The following is a 21,613-nucleotide window of genomic DNA, read 5'->3' as shown; positions in this document are numbered from 1 at the left end:
ACCTCTTCTTGGAAGCTTTCCCTGACTTCTTTAACCTCCTTATATGCATTAATGCATTAGTTCATTCATTCATTCATTCACTAAATGCCTGCTCAATATTGAGCCCAATGTTAGAAGTTACACAAAATACTGTACTTATGGAACACATCACTCTCTGTCACTTTGTTAAGCACATTGCTTCCATGACATCATTAGGCTTATTGCAGTCCCCTGAGGATCTCCAGATGAGCGAGGGACGTGCATGCCAACCAATGCCATGGCTGCCATTATGCTTGTTAATATTCCTAATCTATTAGCTACCATTTACAGGATACTTACTGCAACAAGCACTTTGTATACATTGCTTCCTGCAAACTTCACAGTCATTCTCAGGGAATGTTTTATACTCATTTTACAGCCGAAGATACTGAAACTCAGAGAAGTTAATTTATGTGGCCAAGACCAGACAGTAAGACAGTAGAGGAGCAGGGATCCACCCTCAAGTGTGCCAGATGCCTGAGCCTGTGCTTTTGCTTCCAAGAAGGGTGTGGTAGTGCAGGTGTGCCCAGGGGTGGGGTTGTGAGTGTCAGGGTGGGTGTAATGGGCTCTGAAAGGTGCTTGGTTCAGAGCCTGGCAGGGAAGGGAGGGCCCTGAGGTGGGAACTCTGCAAATATGAAGTCTTGGAAGTGTGAGATGAAGTGCCCGGCAGGGGTTGGGGACTGGAGCAGGGGGTAGTCCAAGGCACAGATGGGAAGAGCCACCTGCGTCAAAGTTACCTGAGGAACTTGTTATACAGGTGGGTTTCTGGGCCCTTCTCTAGGGCCATAGAGTCAGGATCACTTGGGGCAGACACTAGGTACCTTTATTTATTTTTTTTATTTTTGAGACAAGTTCTTGCTCTGTCACCTAGGGTGGAGTGCAGTAGCACGATCATGACTCATTGCAGACTCCACCTCCTGGGCTCCAGCGATCCTCCCACTTCAGCCTCCCAAGTAGCTAGAACTACAAGTACAACACCACACCTAGCTATGTTTTTTTTTTTTAAATTTTTTTTTTTTTTGGTAGAGACGGGGTCTTGCTATGTTTCCTGGCTGGTCTCAAACTCCTGAGCTCAAGCGATCCTCCCACCTCAGCCTCCTGAGTTGCTAGGATTACAGGTGTGAGCTACCATGCCCGGCCTCTAGTTCTTATAAGCCTTCTGGGTAAATCTCATGCTCCTTAAAAGCAAATCCTCTCATGAAGCTGGAAGCCTTCCCACCCTCCTATATCAGCCCTGCAGCCCCTCCCTCTCCTCCACCTCCGCCCTCTCATGGCTCCTGGTCAACGTTCCCAGTTGCTCACTGCCCAGTTGCTCACTGATTGTGTCCTTTGAGTGTCTTATTTATCTGTAGTCAGACTGTGGGTCCTTGAGAGCAGCTTGGGAGAGTCGTGCTTTTTTTTTTTTTTTTTTTTGCAATCCTATGGTACTTGTACCCAGGGTGGGTGGCCAGCCAGATTCGTCAGTTGATTGCAGTACTCATGGTGAAGTTAGAAAAGTCCTGGAAGATCCTGCTGAGAGGCTCAAGAGTCTGCATAAGCACCATCATTATCATAAAAAATACTGTAATGGAGCACATCACTCTCTGTCACTTTGTTAAGCACATTGCATCCATGACATCATTTCATCCTGCTAGCAACACTACGAGGACAGTTTCCCTGTCTATAAAATGGGGGTGATGAAGGAGGCTCCGAGAAGGTGAGTCACCTGCCAAGTCTCAGACAGAGCCAGGAAACCCAAGACCTAGGAGGTGAGATGTTCTGAGAAGCCTTCGAGGCCAGGTGCAAGCTGCCCCGAAATAGCCCTGGCTGGGTCAGTGGGTGGCAGAGGGGACCCTTAGGGTCAGAGCCCTGGGTTCCAGTCCTAACCCTGCCATGAAGCAGCCAGGGGATCTTGAGAAGCCCTTCCCTGCTCCCTGCCTTGGTTCTTGGACTTAGGATAAGGAAATTAATGATCCTGTCTTCCATGTTAATGGAAACTGCAAGGTCATGCCCTTGCCAAGTGCACGGGGGTTGCTCACTCTCCCCGGGAGCACCAGCAGCCAGGAAAGAGGGGGTCTGCATTCTCAGTCCCTCTGCTGGGCTGAGGTGGTACTCTCCCTGTCCTCCCATGTCCCTGGTTTGACCAGCTCCAAGCTTGAAGATGCTCACTCTCCCTGGGAGCACCAGCAGCCAGGAAAGAGGGGGTCTATGTTTTCAGTCCCTCTGCTGGGCTGGGGTGGTACTCCCCTGATCCTCCTGTGTTCCTGGTTTGACCAGCTTCATGCTTGGGGATGCTCCGCAGGAGAACCAGCAGCCAGAAAAGAGGGGGTCTACATTCTCAGTCCCTCTGTTGGGCTGAGGTGGTACTCCCCTGATCCTCCTATGTCCCTGGTTTGACCAGCTCCGTGCTTGGGAAGAAAGTCAGGTGGGACACCTCCTGCTGTATCCCCTATGCCATGAGTACCCAGCCAGGGCATCCATCTGGTGCACTTACTTGGCAGAGTGGCTGGCTCAGTACTGGTGGCCACAGTACAGGGCCTTATGGAATGTTTGCTTGCATGGAGGTACCACAGTGAAAACCATTTGAAAAAGACCGGGAGATAAGGCTTATGGGGGATGGGCACTCACCTTTGTGATGTCTGTAACCTCTGGGTGGGCCACACAGACCAGACAGGAGTCATCCTGGGCTTCCTTTATAAAACTCAAGGCCAGGGTGGTTGTATCATCGATTAGTTGACACTGTCACCTCTGTTTGCTGAGCTCCTTTGCAAGCATTGACCCAGCTTATCTCTCAGAGTAATCACCTTTGCTTCTGGGCTGCTCCTGGGGAGCCACGCTGCAGGTTCCATGCCTTCCCTGGCTTGATTCTCAAGCCAAGGCTAGAACACAAGGTGCCCGGTTCTTCCTCCCATCATAAGAGGTGGTGGGGGTTTCTCCATCACTCCATTACAATGACAGCCTCCCCAGACTCCATAGCCTCCCTTTTGGTTTTATCTTTCCTCTTAGGATGATGTATTTGCTAATATGTAACATAACTTAGTTGTTTTGTTTATTGCCTACCCCTGTTACTAGAGTGTCAGTTTCAGAGGGGTGGGGACTTCTGTCTGTTTTGCTCCTGGCCGCATCTCGAGTCCAGAGCAGTGCCTGGCACTTAGCAGGTGCTCACGGAATGTTCACTGAATTAATCAATTAATCAATGTGCCCCTGAAAAAAAAGTGTGGGTGCTGGTGCCCGCCAGCCTAAGACACGCAGAGCCAATGACATGGGCTCCCGAAGCCGGATAACTGGAAGGAAGTTGAGTGTGTGTGTGAGGTCAAACTGCTCTCCAGTGTGGATACAAAGCTGGCAGTGATACAGCTGTCATTTCTATCAGCTGCCATCAGCACCTCGAGAGTAATGTCCACTTCGCTGAGGACAACCTTTATTCTTAAAGCCCATATGAAATCTCACCTTGTCCCCACCTCCAGCCTGTGCTCTGTGCGGGGGTCTCCTCCTGCCTGCTGCATTGAGAGGCTTGGAGAGGAAGAGCCAGCTCAGACCCTGATTTCCTTCTCATCAGTCCCTGTTTCCTTGGCAGCCAATTAGCCCTCCTTTCCCCAACTCTGTCTGGGCCTCTTCATCTGGCAGCTTCCAGGGTGATTAGGGACTGCCTGATGGAGCGGGACAAGGACACTGAAGCTGCTGCATTAATAGCTTCAGGGCTGGGCTCTGGGCTCTTATCTGAGGAGGAACCAAGTGGAAAGGTGGTGATGCGGTGCCGCTGAGACACCTCCAAAGTGCCCATTCCCCTGCTCCATGGTCTTGCACAGATGACACAGGGAAGTTTTCAGAGAAGGAAGCTTCCCTGGACACCCATTCCTCATTGAAATGTCCATCACAGAACCAGCTAGCAGTGTTTCTCAAAGAGAGGCCCACAGATGCCTGGTCTCAGGACCACCCAGAGTGTGTGCAAATATGCAGATTCCTGGGCTTCCTCACTTGACCCACTGGATCAGAATTCAGGGGGTGGGTGTCTTAGTCCATTCTGGCTATGATAACAAAAATCCCATAAACTGGGTGGCTTAAAAACAGCAGAGATTTATTGCTCACCGTTCTGGAGGCTGGGAAGTCCAAGATCAAGATGTTGGTGTCTGGTGAGGGCTTGTTCTTCGGTTCATAGATCATGTCTTTTTGGAGCTTCTTCACATGGTGGGAAGAAGAGGCTAACTAGCTCTCTGGGGTCTCTTTTATAAGAATATTAATCCCATTCATCCTGGTCACCTCCCAAAGGCCCTACCTTCTAATTCTATCACATTGGGGACTAGGTTTTAATGTATAAATTTCTGGGGGACACAAACACTCAGACAGTGGAAGTGGAAGACCCAGAATCGGCACCGTAATATCTCCCTGGGTCAGGAGTCCCCAAACCAACCCCAGGTTTGATGATTAATTAAGAGGACTCACAGGTCTCAGCATAGTTGTACTCACAGGTAAGATTTATTACAGAGAAATCATAGAGAGCAAAATCAGCAAGAGGAAAAGGTGATAGGGTGAAGTCCAGAGGAAACCAGGCACAAGCTTCCAGGGTCCTCTCCCCGTGGAGTCACACAGGACTCACTTAATTCCTCCAGCAATGAGCTATGACAACATGCGCGAGGAGCTGTCTACCAGCATAGTGCATTAGACTCAATGCCCAGGAAGTCTCCTGGGGGCTGGTTATACAGGCACTTTCTGCCTGGCACATACCCAGATTCCAGACTTTCAGAAGGAAAGCAGGAGTTTGGCATAAGCCACATTGTCTGTACACACCATTTACACATTGTGAGCCACTCTTATCAGGGTGGTGAGAGCCCTCCTGAAACCCGAGTTCCCAGATGCCAGACATGGGCCCACTTTGCAAGCAGGTCTTTGAAGGACAGCAGTCTCAGGCCAGCTCTGCTCACTCTCCTCTGCACCACCTGCTTCTTTTCAAGGCAATTCTTACATACTTTATGGTTTGAGACTTACTCACTGGTCCGGTGGATGAAGCTGGCTCAGTCAACTCAACCTCTGGTTACTGTATGACTCATGATAAGTGACTGGATCACTCTGGACCTGACTTAACAATTCGCAACAGTGAAAGCATGTTCCCTCCCAAGGAGGTTAAGTCAAGTCTCAGGTAACCTCTTCCTTTACTAACGGAAAGGGAGGAAGCCCCTTTTTGGAGGAGTCCTGCCATGCAAATGGCAGAATTTGTCCTTGGCAGGGATGTAATGAGGGAAAAGGAAGGAAGTAGCTAGGAGGAAGAATTCCTCAGATTCATGAGAACTGGTGCTCTGGACCCCAAATTACCCCATTAGTGCTTTCTTCTAGGTCTCTCTGCATCAGAGCCCAGACTTCCCTCAGCATAGCTTATTCACCGGAGTGGGAGTGTTGGGACACTGAGCTGAGCCAGGCCCAGACTCTGCCCTCAAGGGAAAGCTGGCCAGAGATGAGGAACCCCACCAGGCAGGAAATCTCTGCTCTGCCATCCATGATACATGAAACCTGTGACCTTGGGCAAATCATGTCTCCTGGTTGAGGCTCAGGGGCCTCATTTTAAAAATGGGGCTCTATTGCCTAAGATATAGAGAAAGATTGTAAAGATGAAAAATGCTAATGAACAATTTTGAAAGAGCTTTGCAAATATTACAGACATGTTATAAAATGATGTATCTCTGTTGGTTCCTCCTTCCAAGAATGGTACAGATTGTGGATATTGCCTCTTTCCCACCATGGAAGCCCTGGAAATCTTCTATGAACAAATTTCTTCCTACCTGAACTCAGATCTGGGCAGATTCTTAGTCTTTTTGTGTTGCTATACAGGAATACTTGGGTAATTTATAAAGAAAAGAAGCTTATTTGGCTCATGGTTCTGCGGGGTATACAAGAAGCATGGTGCCAGCATCTGTGTCTGGTGAGGGTCTCAGGCTGCTTCCACTCCTGGCAGAAGGTGAAGGGGAGCGGTGTGTGCAGAGATCACCTGGCAGGAGAGGAAGCAAGAGAGAAGGGAGGGAGGTGCCAGGCTCTTTGTAACAAACAGCTGTCATGGGAAGTAACAGAGTCAGAACTCACTCACCCCCAACCTGGAAGGAGATTCATGAGGGATCTGCTCCCATGACCCAAACACTGCCCATTAGGCCCCACCTCCAACACTGGAAATCACATTTCACTATGAGGTTTGGAAGGGATAAATATCAAAACCATAGCAGCAGAGGAAAGAACGCATGATGGAGATTTAGGGCTGGCTCTGTCACTAATTCACCTGCTGACCTGGCAAGTTCCTCTCTCCCTCTGGGCCTCAGTTTTCTCTGTTTATAACATGGAAACAGCAATACTCCTGCCTATCATTTTACCACCACTTCAGATTCATTAGTTTTCCATCTTGTTCCAGAACCACCACTAAGATACATCTGTGCTGAAGGCCTCAGATCGGCACTTCTCTGAAGAACGTTCCAGAAAAGAGTGGAAAACATTGTTTTAGGTGGGCCCCTCTTGGAGGCTCAGGAGGCATGCTAGCATAGTAAAGGCTCTGATAAGTCCTGCCGCAAGGAGATTTTCTCAAGTTTGTTTGCTCACGGAAGTCCTTTGGGCAGAACACCCACCAGCATCCTACAGTCTCTGCTCTGCCATCCATGATGAACGGTCTGCCTACAGAACGGTCTGTGACTTTCTCTTGGTGGCTGTTGGGCTGGGAGGACCCAGACAAGATCAGTCCCAGTTATATCCACCGAATACAGATCCACGGATGTCCCCAGGTTGGTGGCTGCGTCTTTGCCCCAGCCTCAGTCCATTAGAAAGTGATCTTTGCAGCTGGAACTACTGACATTAGCTCCAGTTCCTCCAGGTGTTATTTCATTCCTGGATGCCTGAAAATCCCTGAAAGTGCTGCTTGAGCCAAATTCAGAAGACATGATAAACCAGGTTAATTTTAGGGCCCATGACAATAAGCAGGTGTCCTCTCAGTGGGTTGGTTGGATAAATGAGTTAATTTTGTCCAAGCTCCAAACATCTTGGGGACTTTGGTGCTGAGGGTGCACATATGTGTTGGGGGGTGGGTAGGGGAAATAGTTCCTGCATAGAACTGCTCCAGGGGGTTTGTGGAGACCTGACAAAGGACAGCTGCATACTCAGCACTGCAATTACTGGTGGTAAAATGGTCCGACGGTAGATCCCAGTGAGGGAGCTTGGCGGGTGGGCTTGGCATTCTTTAGAAAACCCCACATCAGCAGCTTTGCTGGTGGGAGTGGGGGTGATTGGGGACCTTGGTGCCTTATCCTGAGGCTGGGCAAGGCAGTCCAGGGCAGTGGAGGGTGGGACAGAGGGGAAGGTGTTTTTCAGAGTGATCCCAGCAAGGGCAGAGACAAGAATGGGGGTTTTAGGCAGACCACATAGGTCGTTGGGGGAACCTCAGCTGTGCTCTGAAGGGACTGTGTGATGTTGGGGGGCTCCTTTGGACTCTCTGAGCCTCAATTTCCTCATCTGCAAATGGAGGCAATAATCTCTCTCTCTCTTTCAGAATAATGAATGGAATAACTTGGGCTAAGTGCCTAGAAATATCTGGCACATAATATGTGCTCTTGTGAATACCAATTCTCCCCCATTTCTTTGGATAAGCTCAGAGACTGGCAGAGAGGTGTTTTTTTTTTTTTTAACTTTTAATTGAAGTGTAACATACACATAGAAAAGTGCATACAGCTTTTTTTTTTTTTTAATTTACAATTTATTTCAACTCTTCCAGGGCTGGGAATGTTACAAAACCTTAAACCAATAAAAAGTCATGTTTTTATTCTTTTTTGTGTGTGTTGCATTTTTTAAAAAGTAATTTTGAAATAACATAAGACTCACAAGTTGCAAAAATCATAGAGTTCCCATGAACGCTTTACCCAGCTTTTCCCAATGGCATCTTAGCCTCAGAACATTGTCAAAACCAGGAAATTGACGCTGGTACTCTAGTATTCACTAAGCAAAAAAGTCCGCGAGTCTTAAGTGAGCTCAGCGGATTTTCACAACCTGAACACAGCCCCATAATCAGTCCCCAGAATGAGAAGGAACATCTCCAGCACCCCAAAATGCTCTTGTAATCCCTCCAGGCTCCTCCACTCCCAGGGTGACCACGGTGGGCTCTGTGTGCCTGGACCCAAGGCAGCACGAGTTTCTTTCTGATTGGATTCTTCTGCCCTCCCTCCAGCCTGGGCACTTCATCCACATTGTCGTGTGTAGTTGCAGCTTGTTCAGCTTGTTCATTGCCACTGCTGATGGGCAGAGAGTTTTATAGGGTCACAGGGCACAGCTGCCCTGGTCCCCAGCTGCCCTACTTTTGGGGAGCCAGAGGAACTGGCCTTAGAGTCTCTAAGTCTCAGGGGCACTACTATGGAAGGAGTTGTGTCTCTCAAAATACATATGTTGATGTCCGAACTCTATTTTTTAAAAAATATTTCTTTAAAATAAAGATGGGGTCTCACTATATTGCCCAGGCTGATCTCAAACCATTTGACCCAGCCATCCCATTACTGGGTATATACCCAAAGGACAATAAATCATGCTGCTATAAGGACACATGCACACGTATGTTTATTGCGGCACTATTCACAATAGCAAAGACTTGGAACCAACCCAAATGTCCAACAATGATAGACTGGATTCAGAAAATGTGGCACATACACACCATGGAATACTATGCAGCCATAAAAAATGATGAGTTCATGTCCTTTGTAGGGACATGGATGAAATTGGAAATCATCATTCTCAGTAAACTATCGCAAGGACAAAAAACCAAACACCGAATGTTCTCACTCATAGGTGGGAATTGAACAATGAGAACACATGGACACAGGAAGGGGAACATCACACTCTGGGGACTGTTGTGGGGTGGGGGGAGGGGGGAGGGATAGCATTAGGAGATATACGTAATGCTAAATGACGAGTTAATGGGTGCAGCACACCAGCATGGCACATGTATACATATGTAACTAACCTGCACATTGTGCACATGTACCCTAAAACTTAAAGTATAATTAAAAAATATTTCTTTAAAATAAAGATGGGGTCTCACTATATGGCCCAGGCTGATCTCCAACTTATGGGCTCAACCAATCCACCCACTTCAGCCTCCCAAAGTGGAGGGATTACAGGTGGGAGCCACTGCACTTTGCCTGACATCCTAACTTTCAGGACCTCAGAATGTGACCATATTTGTTTCGGGAAGGTGTGGAGGGGGCAGAGTCAGGAGGATGAAGGGTCACATTGGCTGGGGGCCACTGGCCACAGGGGACACAGAAGAGAAGAATGCAGAAGACAGTGGCTTCCTTTGGGCTGAATGCCTCAGGGCATGGAGAGAAATCCCATCAAGAGTTCTGGGTGTGGGATTTAAAACTGGGAGTCATTTGCATTTGGAGGTAACTGGAGCCCTGTGGGTGGGTGAGATTGCTCAGGCTGTACCTCCTAACCCCAAATTTGTATGATGGAATCCTAACTCCCAGGACCTCAGAATGTGGCTGTTTGGAGAAAGGGTCTTTACAGAGGTAATTCAGTAAAATGAGGTCACCAGGGTGAGCCTTACACCAACGTACCTGGTGTTCTCATGAGAGAGGGGATTAAGACTCAGACACTTGCAGAGGGAAGGCCACAGGAGGACACAGGATGAAGACGGCATCCATAAGCCAAGGACAGGGGCCTCCAAAGGAACCCACCCTGCTGAATCCCTGGTCTTGGACTTCCAGCCTCCAGAGCTCTGAGAAAATACACACTGTTGTTTACACCCCGCAGTGTATGGTACTTTGTTATGGAGGCCCTAGCAAACTAGTGTGTTCTACTCCTTGGTTGTAGACCGGGAGCAAGTTCCTTAACCTCTTTAAGCCTCAGGTTCAACGTGCATAAAATGGGCCTAATCCTAGTACTTTTTCCTTGGAATTTTTGCGAGGTTGAGAATATGAAAATAAAACCTTAGCCCATTGTACGTGCTAAGCAACTGTTTGCTATTATTATACCAGGCGCTTTTCCAGAGATGAAGATATAGCAGTTACACCCTTGCAGAAGCACCCCCATACCCGTAAGCCCAGGGAAGGGTATATTCCGTGATGCTAGCATTCAGCCACCAAGCTGACTGGCTCCCAGGGGTTGCCAAAACCACCCTCATCCTCTTAGCCCAGAGCACTGACCCCAGAGCGCCTTGGTTGGCTTAGCCACATGGCAAAGAAGGCTTTCCGTGGATGCTGGCCACTCATCTAAAGGCGGAACCTCGAACATCATGTCCACGTCTGGAGCTGCCCCTTTCTGTGAGCATGGGCCGTCTGGTCTCAGCTTAGGAGGAGAAAAGCTGCCCATAGGCTGCCTGGCACCCACCTGGGCACTGTGGGCCATTGGCCAGCATGCTGAAGTGGGCAGTGAGTCCACGTGCCCGGCCTGTCGCAGCTCAAACCTGCTGGCCCACTGCAGTAAAACCGCCTTCGACTTAATATATGCTAATTAGATTTTAATGGGATTCAGATTTCCAACAGTAGTGCAGTGTTAGCCAGGGTAAGTTATAATCATATCTAATTGGTAATTCTAACATAACAAATTTCTTGGATAAATTATTCTTAGTTAATAGTCCCCCAGGAACAACCTCAACACGCGGGTGCCCCCCCCCCCACACACACACAATCACACACATATATATTTTAGAGGAAAAGAACAAGGTGGAAGCAGTTTCACAGCAAGGTAAAGTTATTATTTAAAACCTGGGCTCTTCAGAGGCTAAACCAGAGCCCCAGACTAAAGCCCTTAAAGTTGTTAGAACCCAGAACAGGGTTCAGAACGCCGGAGCCTGGTCATGGTGGTGCATGTGGCACAGTCAGGGCTGTGTCTTGGAGGGTGGGCTACATTCTCTGGTAGAAGATTCCCCTCTCCAGGAGGTGGCAGCAGGAGGGGCCACCAGGCTCAGAACTCAACCCCTACTTGGGACACGGTCCCTCTCCCTGGGGGAGGCCTGCTGTGGTTACAGCAGCCCCTCCCTCCCTGCCTGGGTTTCTCTGGAATTCTTCCCTTCCACCCTCCAAAAGACCTAAAGAGGGACCCACTGGTTACATTACTATTTTCTTTACTGGGCAGACAGCAGAATGTAATTCCAGAAAAAGGAGTGGGGGTCAGCCAGCCTGGCATCCTGCCCTTACTTTGCCACTAAGCCTGGGCAACCCTGGGTATAACCCAGGTACAACCCCAGGCAAGATGCTCAGGGCCTCTGTTTTCCCAGCTGTAACATGCGTTGAGACTCACCAGGCCTTTCTACTTTAGGTGGAAAGAAGATGCCTCCTCTCTGGTATTCGGGTGAAGGTGTGGACCCTACATAGTAGACAGATGGTCTGGGAATATACCAAGCAGGCCTGCCCTGGGCATCCAAGGAGAAGGTTCTCTCCTTTTTCTGTCAAGTGGCTCTCTGTCCTCCTAAAGCTGCCATTGGCCATAGGAGAGTGTGCCTCTCTGCCTGCCCTCCTTCCCTGCTGGCAGGAGCTTAAGGCTTGACTTCCCAGAGGGTCGGTGGTGAGGTGGCCGTGTGCAGAGAGCATCATTAGTTGAAGGCAGGAGATGTGCTTAAAAAGGATGGGATTCTCACCTGTGCTCCCCACTTACCAGCTGTGTAATTCTAGGCATGTCCTTTATTCCCCTTGGGGTCACTTCTTGTTTCATTTATTGAGTACAATAATACCTTCTTATATGGTTGTTGGGTGGACCCAGGGAAATAACCTTGTGAAGAATCTGAGTTAGTACGTGTGAGTTTCTCTCTCCTTTGTTCTTTTCCTCTTCCTCCATTCCCTTCCCTTTATAATGGGATGATTTGGGGGCACAGAATGACTTTGGGGGAAGAGCAGCCAGCCCCACGAGATCCCTTTTATCTAGTATCAAAGATGGAGATTACTGTCGACACCTGGTGCCAAGTGCGTAATAATGACAGGGAACATTTGTTGAGCACATAGTATATGCAGACACGTTTCTAAGTATTTTATATGCACTGTCTCATCAGCTCTCATAACAGCCTTAATGGGCATGATGGGCATGATTGTGATCCTCATTATTTAGACAGATGGGTCACGTGAGCACAGAGAGGTTATGTAAGTGGCCTGAAGTCATACAGCTAGTCAATCGCTAACCAAGGATTTGAATCCAGGGGAGTTTGGCTCTAGAGCTCTTTAAACACTTCATGGTGCTGCCTCTTGAACTGACTAGCTCAAGATCATCAGAATATTTAAAAGAACCATCTGCCTTCGGGGAGCTTCCAGGGAGAAAGGAGGAAAGGGAACCAACATTTACTGAGTGCCTGGCCTAAGCCTGACCCTGTGCTGGGCTTCTCACCTCTGGAGGCAAAATTACCTGGTGCATTAAGCCAAGTGCAGATCCCAGCTCCAGGACTTACTTGCTGTGTGATTGGGGACAAGTTACAAAACCTCTCTGAGCCTCTGTTTCTTTATTTGTAAAATAGAGATAATGCTTCCTCTATTGAAAGGTTATTATAAAGATCAAACAAAATGATTCATGCAAGGTGCTTAGCACAGTGCCTGGCACATAGAGAATATCTGGTAAATGATGAATTCCTAAATTTATGAACATTGTTACTTATGTAAATTCTTATATGTGTGTAAATATCCCCATTTTGTAGTGGGAAAACTGGGTTCCAAAAGGTTAAGCAAGCTGCCCAAGATCCCACATTGGGAACGTGGCAAAGTTGCAGTTTGACCCCCAAAGTCTTTCAAAGCCCTGGGTCTCACTGTCGCTGGATAGATTTGAGAGCCGTCCTCTGCGGCTCTGCAGCTGCACTGCCACCGGGCTCCAGCAGACGCCTCCTGCCCACACACCACCTTTCAGCCCTGACTGCCTCTTCATCAAAATGAAGACCATTCCCAGATGGGTGAAGTCAGCTGCCTGTGCTGGGAGAGGAAGCTCTAAGAGCATCCCCAGGGCTTGGCTTGGGGTCACCTCCAGGGTCAGGAGTGGATCCATTGGGCCTTTGAGCATTGTGCTCGCTGGGTGGTCTCCGTCTTCACTTCTCTTCCTGCACAGCAGTTCTGTTCAGGCTGCTATAACAAAATACCACAAACTGAGTGACAGCAGAAATCTATTTCTCACGGTTTTGGAGGCTGGAAAGTCCAAAATCACGGGAATAGCAGATTGAGTGTCTGGTGAGGGTCCACTTCCTAGATGTCTTTTCAATGTAACCTCACGTGGTAGAAGGGGAAAAGGACCTCTCTGGGACCTCTTTTATAAGGGCACTAATCCCATTCATGATAGCTCTGCCTCCATGATCTAATCACCTCCCAAGGGTCCCACCTCCTAATCCCATCACCTCAAGGGTTAGAATTTCAACATGAATTTCAGACCATGGTGCCAGTCTTTGGGCAGCCGCATCCCTCTACCTCAAGATCTTTCTCTCTCTTACCTTGGGATTTCAAAGGGGGCAATGGGTGCCCTGGGAAGCTAAAAGGCTCAGTCTAGCAGATACTATCCCTGCCCCACCTCCATCCTCAAAGCCCACCACGGGTCTCCTGCAGTTTACCATGCTATGGCTCTCTACCAGGGACTTTCTCTGGTTGGTTGGCTGCAGGTAGTGGATTTAATGCTCCAGCAATTGGTGACAGTGCTTCCAGCTTCCTTGCTCCTTAGTGGGGACAGTCTGAGATGCATGCAATGCAAAATCTCAGGGTCCCTTGGGATAAAGCCCCAATTGCCCAGGTCAGGCACACCCTGTATGAGCTTTCTTCCTTTCCCTACCCCATTTGCCTGTGTCACTGTTCTTCCTGGATCTCCTCCCAAATGAACCATTTGCACCCAAATCCCTATCTCAGGGTCTACCTTAGGAGGAACCCTAACTAAGACCCTCAGCCACTTCAAGCACCAGATTATGTGTGTTTGGTGAAGCGGAAAACAGTGTGAGTTCTTCGTCCGGGCGTATGGGAGGCTCTGATCACAGCACTGTGCTGTAAGCTGTGTGGACTTAAGCAAATGACTCCCCTCTGGGAGCCTCCACTTGCTCATCTGCAGGGTATGGAGCATCTGTTCTTACAGGCAGTTAGGCGAAGTGCCTGGCCAGTGGTTCGTCCTTAATGAATATGAATTATTGTTGTTCTCAAGGCAGATCATCCCAAATTGTCATGCCTCCTGAGCTCCTGGCCTGCTGGACAGTGGCATGGAATGTCCCTTCTTCCCCTCGAGCATGGCTTGTCCGGAATCCAACTAATCACCACCATCCCCCTGTGTTCCCATTCCTGGTTCTTTTCTTTCTTTCTTTCTTTTTTTTTTTTTTGAGACAGAGTCTGGCTCTGTCACCCAGGCTGGAGTGCAGTGGCACAATCTCGGCTCACTGCAAACTCCTCCTCTCTGGTTCAAGCGATTCTTCTGTCTCAGCCTCCCGAGTAGCTGGGACTACAGGAGCCCACCACCATGCCTGCTAACTTTTATGTTTTTAGTAGAGACAGGGTTTTACCATGTTGGCCAGGCTGGTCTTGAACTCCTGACCTCAAGTGATCTACCCACCTCAGCCTCCCAAAGTGTTGGGATTACAGGCGTGAGCCACTGGCCAGGCCCTGTTTCTGGTTCTCTATCCCATCTGTCCGACTGTGCAAGCCCAAGGCCTCTGGCTTCTTATGACCCCCATGACTACACAACTTCCATTCCCAGAGGGCTGGGAGCCTCCCTCTCAAGCTGCCTTCCTCCAGCCCCATTGTCTGGTAGCCCTGCTTGCTGGAATCAGTCCTGACACACACGGGGCATCTGTGCCTGGGAGAGTCACTTAGCCTCTCTAAGCTTTACCCCCTCCTTTGAAGAGTGGGAAGCAGGGTCATTCTGCAGGATAAAGCACCCAGCACAGCGTGCGGCAGACAGGTCAGGGCTGGTGCACCCTAGGGCCCTCCCTGTCCAGCCATGACTGACCTTGATAGTGTCTCACTCTAACTACCTAAGTAAGCTTCTAACTGGGCTCACCTAGGCCAGGAGCAGACTTCTCCAACTTGACTGGGCACACAAATGGCCTGGGACCTTGTGAAAAGGTAGATTCTGTTTCTGCAGGTCCCGGGTGGGGCCTAAGATCCTGCATTTCTATCAAGCTCCCAGGAGATGCAGCTGCTGCCGGTCCTGGGACTGTGCACTGAGTAGGCAGAGTCTGGAACTCTCTTGTTCCACTTTACTTCCAAGCATCTTCTGTGACTCTGAGGCTTTCACCCACTGCTCCCTATTGCATGATATTGATGACAATAGCTAATACTTACTGAACACTTACCATGTGCCAGGCACTGTTCTAAGGATGTTCCACATCTTCATTTATTTAATTCTCCGAGGTGAACGCCATGGACCTCGGCGTCCCCATTTTCAGAAGAGGAAGTAGAGGCACAGAGAAGTTAGTAAAGTGCCGAAGCCATGGAAATAGTGAGTGACAGAGCTGACAGTGACTTCAGACGCAGGCTGGGTCCCTGTGCTTGATCGCTCTGCCATGCTCCTCTTAAAGCAGGAGCCCAATCCCCTAAGCCTAGGCTTTAAAGGATTTAAGGAAGGGCTTTTCCTGTGGTCAGAAAAGGATGGTCCCTGGAGGAGGTCAAATTTGGGAAGTTGGAAAGGAGAAGCAGTTTAGAGAAAGATTCCTCCGAGGACCTTTTGTCTGTGGCTCTGGGAACTCCAGGCCCAGTGGAGTAAGAGGCAGGAGAGTATGGGGGCCAGGGTTGGGGACTACAAGGGCCCCTCATGAGCTGGCAGCTGCTGGGATAGGATGGGAGGGAAGAGGGGGAGGAGCAGTGGTGACGCAGGGGAAGCGGCTATGGAAACTCAGCCCCAAGGTCGGGTGCAGCTGGCGGCCAGGGCTCCACTGTGCCTGCTGACATTTAAGCCTGCCGCCCCATTTGAAAAAATGCATGCATTTTGCACGTCTATTTCCTTCCACCCACCACTCAGGACTGTCATTCCCCGGAGGAGGCCAAGGGTGTCATCACTGATGCAGCAGCTTAAATGCTTTTTGGAAAACTTCCCCGCTCTGGCCTGGTCTGCAGCTCCACCTCCCCGGCTGGGCTCCAGGGCCAGTCTCTTTCTCCTTACTGTCTCTCTGTGTCTCACTGCCTTTATCTCTGCTTCCAGGCTTGCTCTCCCAACCCTCTCTCTCTCTGTCCTCTCCTCCCCTCTTCTCTGTTTCTCTCTGCACTCTGTCTTTCTCTGTCTCTGTCTCTGTCTCTATGTCTCTCTTTGTGTGTTTCTCTTTCTCTGTCCCTCTGTCTCTGTATGTCCTCTGTACGCTGTCCCTCTCTGTCTCTGTGTCTCTGTACTCTGTCTCTCTCTCTCTGTATGTCCTCTGTCTCTCTCTGTCACTCTGTCTCTGGGTGCCTGTCTCTGTGTACCTCTCTGTGTGTGTCTCTGTCTCTGTCCCTATCTCTTTATGTCCTCTGTACTCTGTCCCCCTCTGTCTTTTTGTGTCTATGTCTCTGTGTCTCTCTCTGTCCCTCTTTGTCTCTGTGTGTCTCTCTCTGTGTGTGTCTCTGTCTCTGTCCCCCTCTATCTCTTTATGTCCTCTGTACTCTGTCCCCCTCTGTCTCTGTCTCTCTATCTCTGCCTCGTTTTTGTTCACTTCCTACTTCTCCAATTTTCTCTTTGCCTCATTCATTGCTGATTTTTGCCTCTTTTTGCTCTCTTTCAGAACCCCTCCCCCAAGTGAGTCCCCTTCTCTGCCCCTTCCATCCCATCTCCTCATCCTTGGAGGAGCCTTCCATCTCCCTGGATCTCTGAGCCTCCCGCTGCTGGCTGCCCCCTCTTCTCCTCTCTCCCTCTGCTCCCTGGCCTCTCCCCACCTCCCCTTTCTCAGCTCCCCTCCCACTCCCTTTCCCTCTCTTTCCAGGCTCCTCCTTCCCCTCCTCTCCCTCTGATTTTCCTTCTCCCTGCCTCTTGCTTTCATTTTCATAGGCACTGCAGTGCTTCTGAAGGGAGTCAGCCCCTGACCCTGGCCCACCCTCATCCCTGCCTCTGCCCCAGAAATGTGCAAGTCCACGTTTGGGGGTCTTTCTGGGGCTGCTGGCTCCCGTGGGCAAGAGTAGAGCCCAGGGGGTCTTGTTTTTGTTTTCTCAGCTCTGTGTACACTTGTGCCTTTAATAAAACCTACAGCTTTTCTGAGGTCAGGACAGTAAATCTGAAAACCCTGCATCACTGTCTTGTGAGGGCAGCCAGTGCCTCTTGGATGGGAGCCACAGTTCACTGCCCTGCGTCTCCCTGCAGACAAGGTAACCATGGCCCAAGATGAAGCTGGCTGCTGGGTCACAGTTACCTGTCAGGGACGGGGCCTCCAGATCCTCTCCTGCTTGGCCAAGAGCCCTGGCCAGGGTATAAGCAAGAGGGATAAAGGTCTCCAGTCTGCGGAGGCGAGAGGGCCAGAGGAGCATGTGACTTCCATTGGGGTGGGGGCTGTTGGGCCCCAGAAGCACAGTGCCCCAATGCTGTGGAGAAGACGGCGACCACAGACTCTGATTCTCTCACAGGCTCCTGGCCAAATGGACCACCATAGAGCCAGCGCCAGCCCTCCTCCCTGGAAGGGGCAGCCTTCCTCCTGGAAGGGGCAGCAATAGGATGAGGGGCATGGCTTCCCCGACTTCCTGTGTCCAGAGTGATGGGGAGGACCCCAGGTGTTCACACTTGAAGAGCCCAGGCCAGATAAAAGATGGGCCCATCTTAGAGCCACCACACACAAGACTGCTAACTACCAGCTGTGGGCACTTCTTGCTGATGAGCCCAACTCTGAGGGCTGATTGCCCAGGAGGCGGGGGCTGAGTCCTGGGCTGATGTGGTGGGTGTTGGTGACAGTGGCCCCCTTGAGACCCAGCAGGTGTCTCTGCATCTACCCGGCCAGCCGGGCACACCTACAGCCAGCAGGGATCAGTGGGCACCTTGGGCCATCCCAAGAGGCAGCTGACCAGCCCAGGGGGCCTCTGCACAGCCAGAGTACCCCTGGGGGAATCTGCAGATGGTGGGTGGTGACCAGGACTCATGACTGGGAAGAGCCATGGGCTGAGGTGGAGTTTCCAAGGAATGGGGAACTTGGTGGTCTGGCCAGGCCCAGCGGCCATGTGTTTGGCCAGTCTATTTTTTTAAAGATGAGGTCTTCTCAGGTGACAATGCAAACCTAACCAGAACTTGGGGCCTTGTCCCTCCTAGTGACCTGCAGCATTTGGGCTGGTGTCTGAGAGATAGCTGAGGCACCTGAACTAACCTGGGGCCAAATTGCATTGGTGGCAGAGTTGACTTTGATGCTCCCTCTTATCCTTCAAGGCCTAGCTGCAATGTCACCATTTCCTAGAAGCCTGCCCTGATGTCCTTGGGCAGAACAGCCTTTCACCCTTTCTGTGCCCCATTGCATCCTCTTCATACTTTTATTCTGATATTTATCACATGGAATTGCAGTGCTCTCTCCCCCAGGTCTGTCATTCCTGATGGATGGGAGCTCTTTAAGGGCAAGGCCTGGCTTGCTTGTCTTTGTGCTTCTCCTGCCTGGCATAGAGCCTGGCCCGGGTGATGCTCAGGGTTTGTCCAATGAGTGAATGAGCGTGTGGATGAATAAATGAGCATCCATCTCCCCTTTCAGGCTGGGCTCTGTTTTGCCCATCGCTGTCCTCCCACTTCTCAATTTCAGGTTGAATAAGCCACCATCTCAGCCTGCTCAGGGCTCAAAGTCCTCAAATTCAAAGCCCAAAGCAGGCAGCCGCCCCAACCCTTTAGCCTTAGGCCTCCCAGCTGGCTCTCTTCGGGCGTGTCCCCTGCCACTTTGCGTGGTTCATCCACTTGCTGCTGAGATATTAATGCCCCTCAGGGGTCAGTGGAGCCCAATGACCATGCTGTGAATGGAGCAAGGCAATTCCAATTTCATGCCTACATGGGCTTCCCTCTGTTAAGAAAAAGAGCGGGAACACATCTTTCTTTTTTTTAAAATTTCCTCCAGAAAACAGGCAAAGGTAGCGTGCAGCAGAGGCTTATGTAGAATTGCTAGCAGACAGTGAGGGGCCAGGTGGTTCCCATGAGACAGAGCAGGGCTTTGGGGAAGAAGGAAGTAGACGGAGGAGGCAGGGGGTACTCTGTTGTTGTTGCCTGCTGATCAGGCCTGGGTGTTTGTACACTGATGATTATCTGAGAGCCTTCAGCAACTGAAAATCATCTACTTCTGTCTTGTTATCAGCTTGCAAAATACAGGCATACAAATATTTATTACTGTTCTCACTGGCCTCCTCTGACTAATCCCTCTCACATTGATGCTTCAGCGTCCTGAGCAGGTCCTGGTGCCAAGTGCACATCACAGTTTGACTTCCATTGTTTAGCTGGATAGATGCTTTCCCAACCCAGGACTGTGAGCTCCTTGAAGTTTTCTTGCTCATCTCTGCAGCCTGGTGACCAGCACAGTGCTTGGCTCATAGTAGGTCCTTGGGAGGTACTGATTCATTCATTCATCATTCATTCACTCACTCAATAATTTGTTATTGAGCCATGTGCCAGGCTCTGGTCTAAGTGTGAGGATACAGCAGTGCACAATACAGACCTGGTCCCTGTGCTCATGGGGCTGACGTTCTGGCTCAGGGTAGGGAAAGACTGCCAATAAATAAACAAGTAAGTAGAAAAAGCATAGGGTAATAATGCATGCCTTGCAGAGAATTAAATCGAGGGTGGCACGATGGAGAGGGGTGTGGTGGTCAGGTAGGTCTCTCTGAGTGGGAGTTAAGCTGCCATCCAATTGCATGGAGGAGCCAGCCCTGCAAAGGAGAAGAGAATTCCAGGTGGAAGGAACAAGTAGAACAAAGGTCCTCAAGCAGGAGCGGACTTGAAGAATTCAGTGAATGGAAAGATGAGTGTGAATGAAGCAACAGGAGAGAGGGAGTGGGGATGAGACACGTTAGAGGGTCAGGCAGAGCAGACCACATCCAGTCGACCTGTAAAGGGCTCAGATTTGTTTTCTGTGTGATGGGAAGCCAGGGTTCTGAGAAGGAGGTCGCTGTGGCATGACAGATTTAAAAGGATTCCACTGGCTGCTATGTGGGAGACTGGACTGGAGATTGGGGAGGAAATCTGAAGACCAGATTGGAGGCTGAGGTGGTTTTCCAGGCAAGAGGAAGCTTTGTCTAGGTTGGCAGTGGGGAAAGAAAAAAGTGGGTAAATTCTAGATGAGTTTTGAGAGGAAAGCCAACAAGCTATTGGGTTGGATGCGGAAGAATGAGAGAAAGAGATAAATGAAAGATAACAGTGAAATGTTTGACCAAAGCAACTGGGTTGATGGTACTATTTCTAGAGAAGGGGAATGCTAGGGAAGGAGCATGTTTTGGGAGGGAAAGCCAAAAATTGGGTTTTGGCCACATGAAGTTGGAAATGCATATTTGATGTCCAGTGAGGTAGGGGAACCATATTATGAAGTTGGACATCTGAGTCTGGAATTCCAAGGAAAAGTTAGGGAGTCAGAAATTCGAAAGTCAATGTGGAAATTGATTGAAATGGTCATTCAGGACCCGACTTGACCAGGGCCAAATGGGCTATGATGACCACAAGGAGATAGAGCCAATGCTTAATTCTCAGCTTGGTGTGTCTGGCACCTGGAGTTTTTGTAGGGATGTCCCTGATTCTTTAAGACATTTGCACTGTCTGAGAGAGAGGCACAGATGACTCAGTGATGTCTCTGCTGGTTGGAAAGGGAGAAGAAGCACAGGGCATTCATGCAGCAGAAGTGATGAGAGCCATTTCTGGTGATGGAGCCTCCTCCCAGTCCTCCCTCCTCTGGCCACTCTGGCCTGGGCGGAATTCATTCATTTCCATGGGATGAAATAAATGAATGAATAATTTCCATTCATTTCATTTCATGGAAATGAATCATTAAATGGGTCCCAGCTTCTCTGTGGAAGATGCAATGCTCTGGGGTCATCATTCTATTTCCTTCTCCAGGGCACACAGGAAAGCTGCATTTCCCAGCCTCCTTTGCAGTCAGATTGGGCCATGTGACTACTCCTGGCCAATGGGGTATGGACAGGGGTGATTTATGTTCTATTAGGCCTGGGCCTTAATCACATCCTGGGTGATCATATTAGTTTCCTAACTGCTGCTGTAACAAATTGCCACAAACCTAAGTTTAAAAGAATATGGCAAATTTATTCTCTTAGTTTTGGAGTCAGAAGTCTGAAATGAGTCTCATGGGGCTAAACATGTTGGCAGGGCCAGTTCCTTCTGGAAACTCCAGGGGGAGAATCTGTTTTCTTGCCCCATTTGGCTTCTAGAGCCTGCCTGAATTCCTTGGCTTGTGGCCCCTTCCTTGCGTGACTCCTATCTCTTGCTTCTGCCATCACATCTCCTTCTCCTGCCTTTCACCTTCTTTGCCTCCCTCTTATAAGGACATTGTGATTACATTGAACCCACCTGGATAATCCAGGCTGATGTTTGCATCTGAAGATGCTTAACTTGATCACATCAGCAAAATCCCTTTTGCCATGGAAGGTAATGTATTTACACGTTCTAGGGATTAGGATATGGACATCTTTGGTGAGAGGGCATTATTCTGCCTACCACAGTGATACTCCAGCCTTCTCTTCTCCTCCCCTGGGGATTTTGGAAGCCACGTATTCCAGGTGATGTAGCTACAAGATGGAACAGGCCTGTT

At 49.6% G+C, this 21,613-nt stretch overlaps 1 long non-coding RNA gene across 1 annotated transcript, besides 1 other annotated feature; it reads right to left on the bottom strand.

Moving 5' to 3' along the window:
• Positions 1–12,421: 12,421 nt before the first annotated feature.
• LOC124903865 (uncharacterized) lies at positions 12,422–15,719 on the bottom strand. The gene is made up of 2 exons (XR_007065518.1): positions 15,242–15,719; positions 12,422–13,046 (listed from the first exon to the last, which is right to left on the bottom strand). It is a non-coding gene; the product is annotated as an uncharacterized LOC124903865 (long non-coding RNA).
• Positions 17,545–18,344: an enhancer, noted in NCBI's record as "H3K4me1 hESC enhancer chr1:18709612-18710411 (GRCh37/hg19 assembly coordinates)". NCBI's record gives its function as "activates a minimal SCP1, AML or CMV promoter by ChIP-STARR-seq in primed H9 embryonic stem cells {active_cell/tissue: H9 hESC(primed)}" and the evidence as "EXISTENCE:reporter gene assay evidence [ECO:0000049][PMID:30033119]".

Source organism: Homo sapiens, chromosome 1 (genome assembly GCF_000001405.40).
Source record: "Homo sapiens chromosome 1, GRCh38.p14 Primary Assembly".
Lineage (NCBI taxonomy): Eukaryota > Metazoa > Chordata > Mammalia > Primates > Hominidae > Homo > Homo sapiens.
Note: the sequence above shows the minus strand (reverse complement) of the source record. Positions and strands in the feature narration are given on the sequence as shown.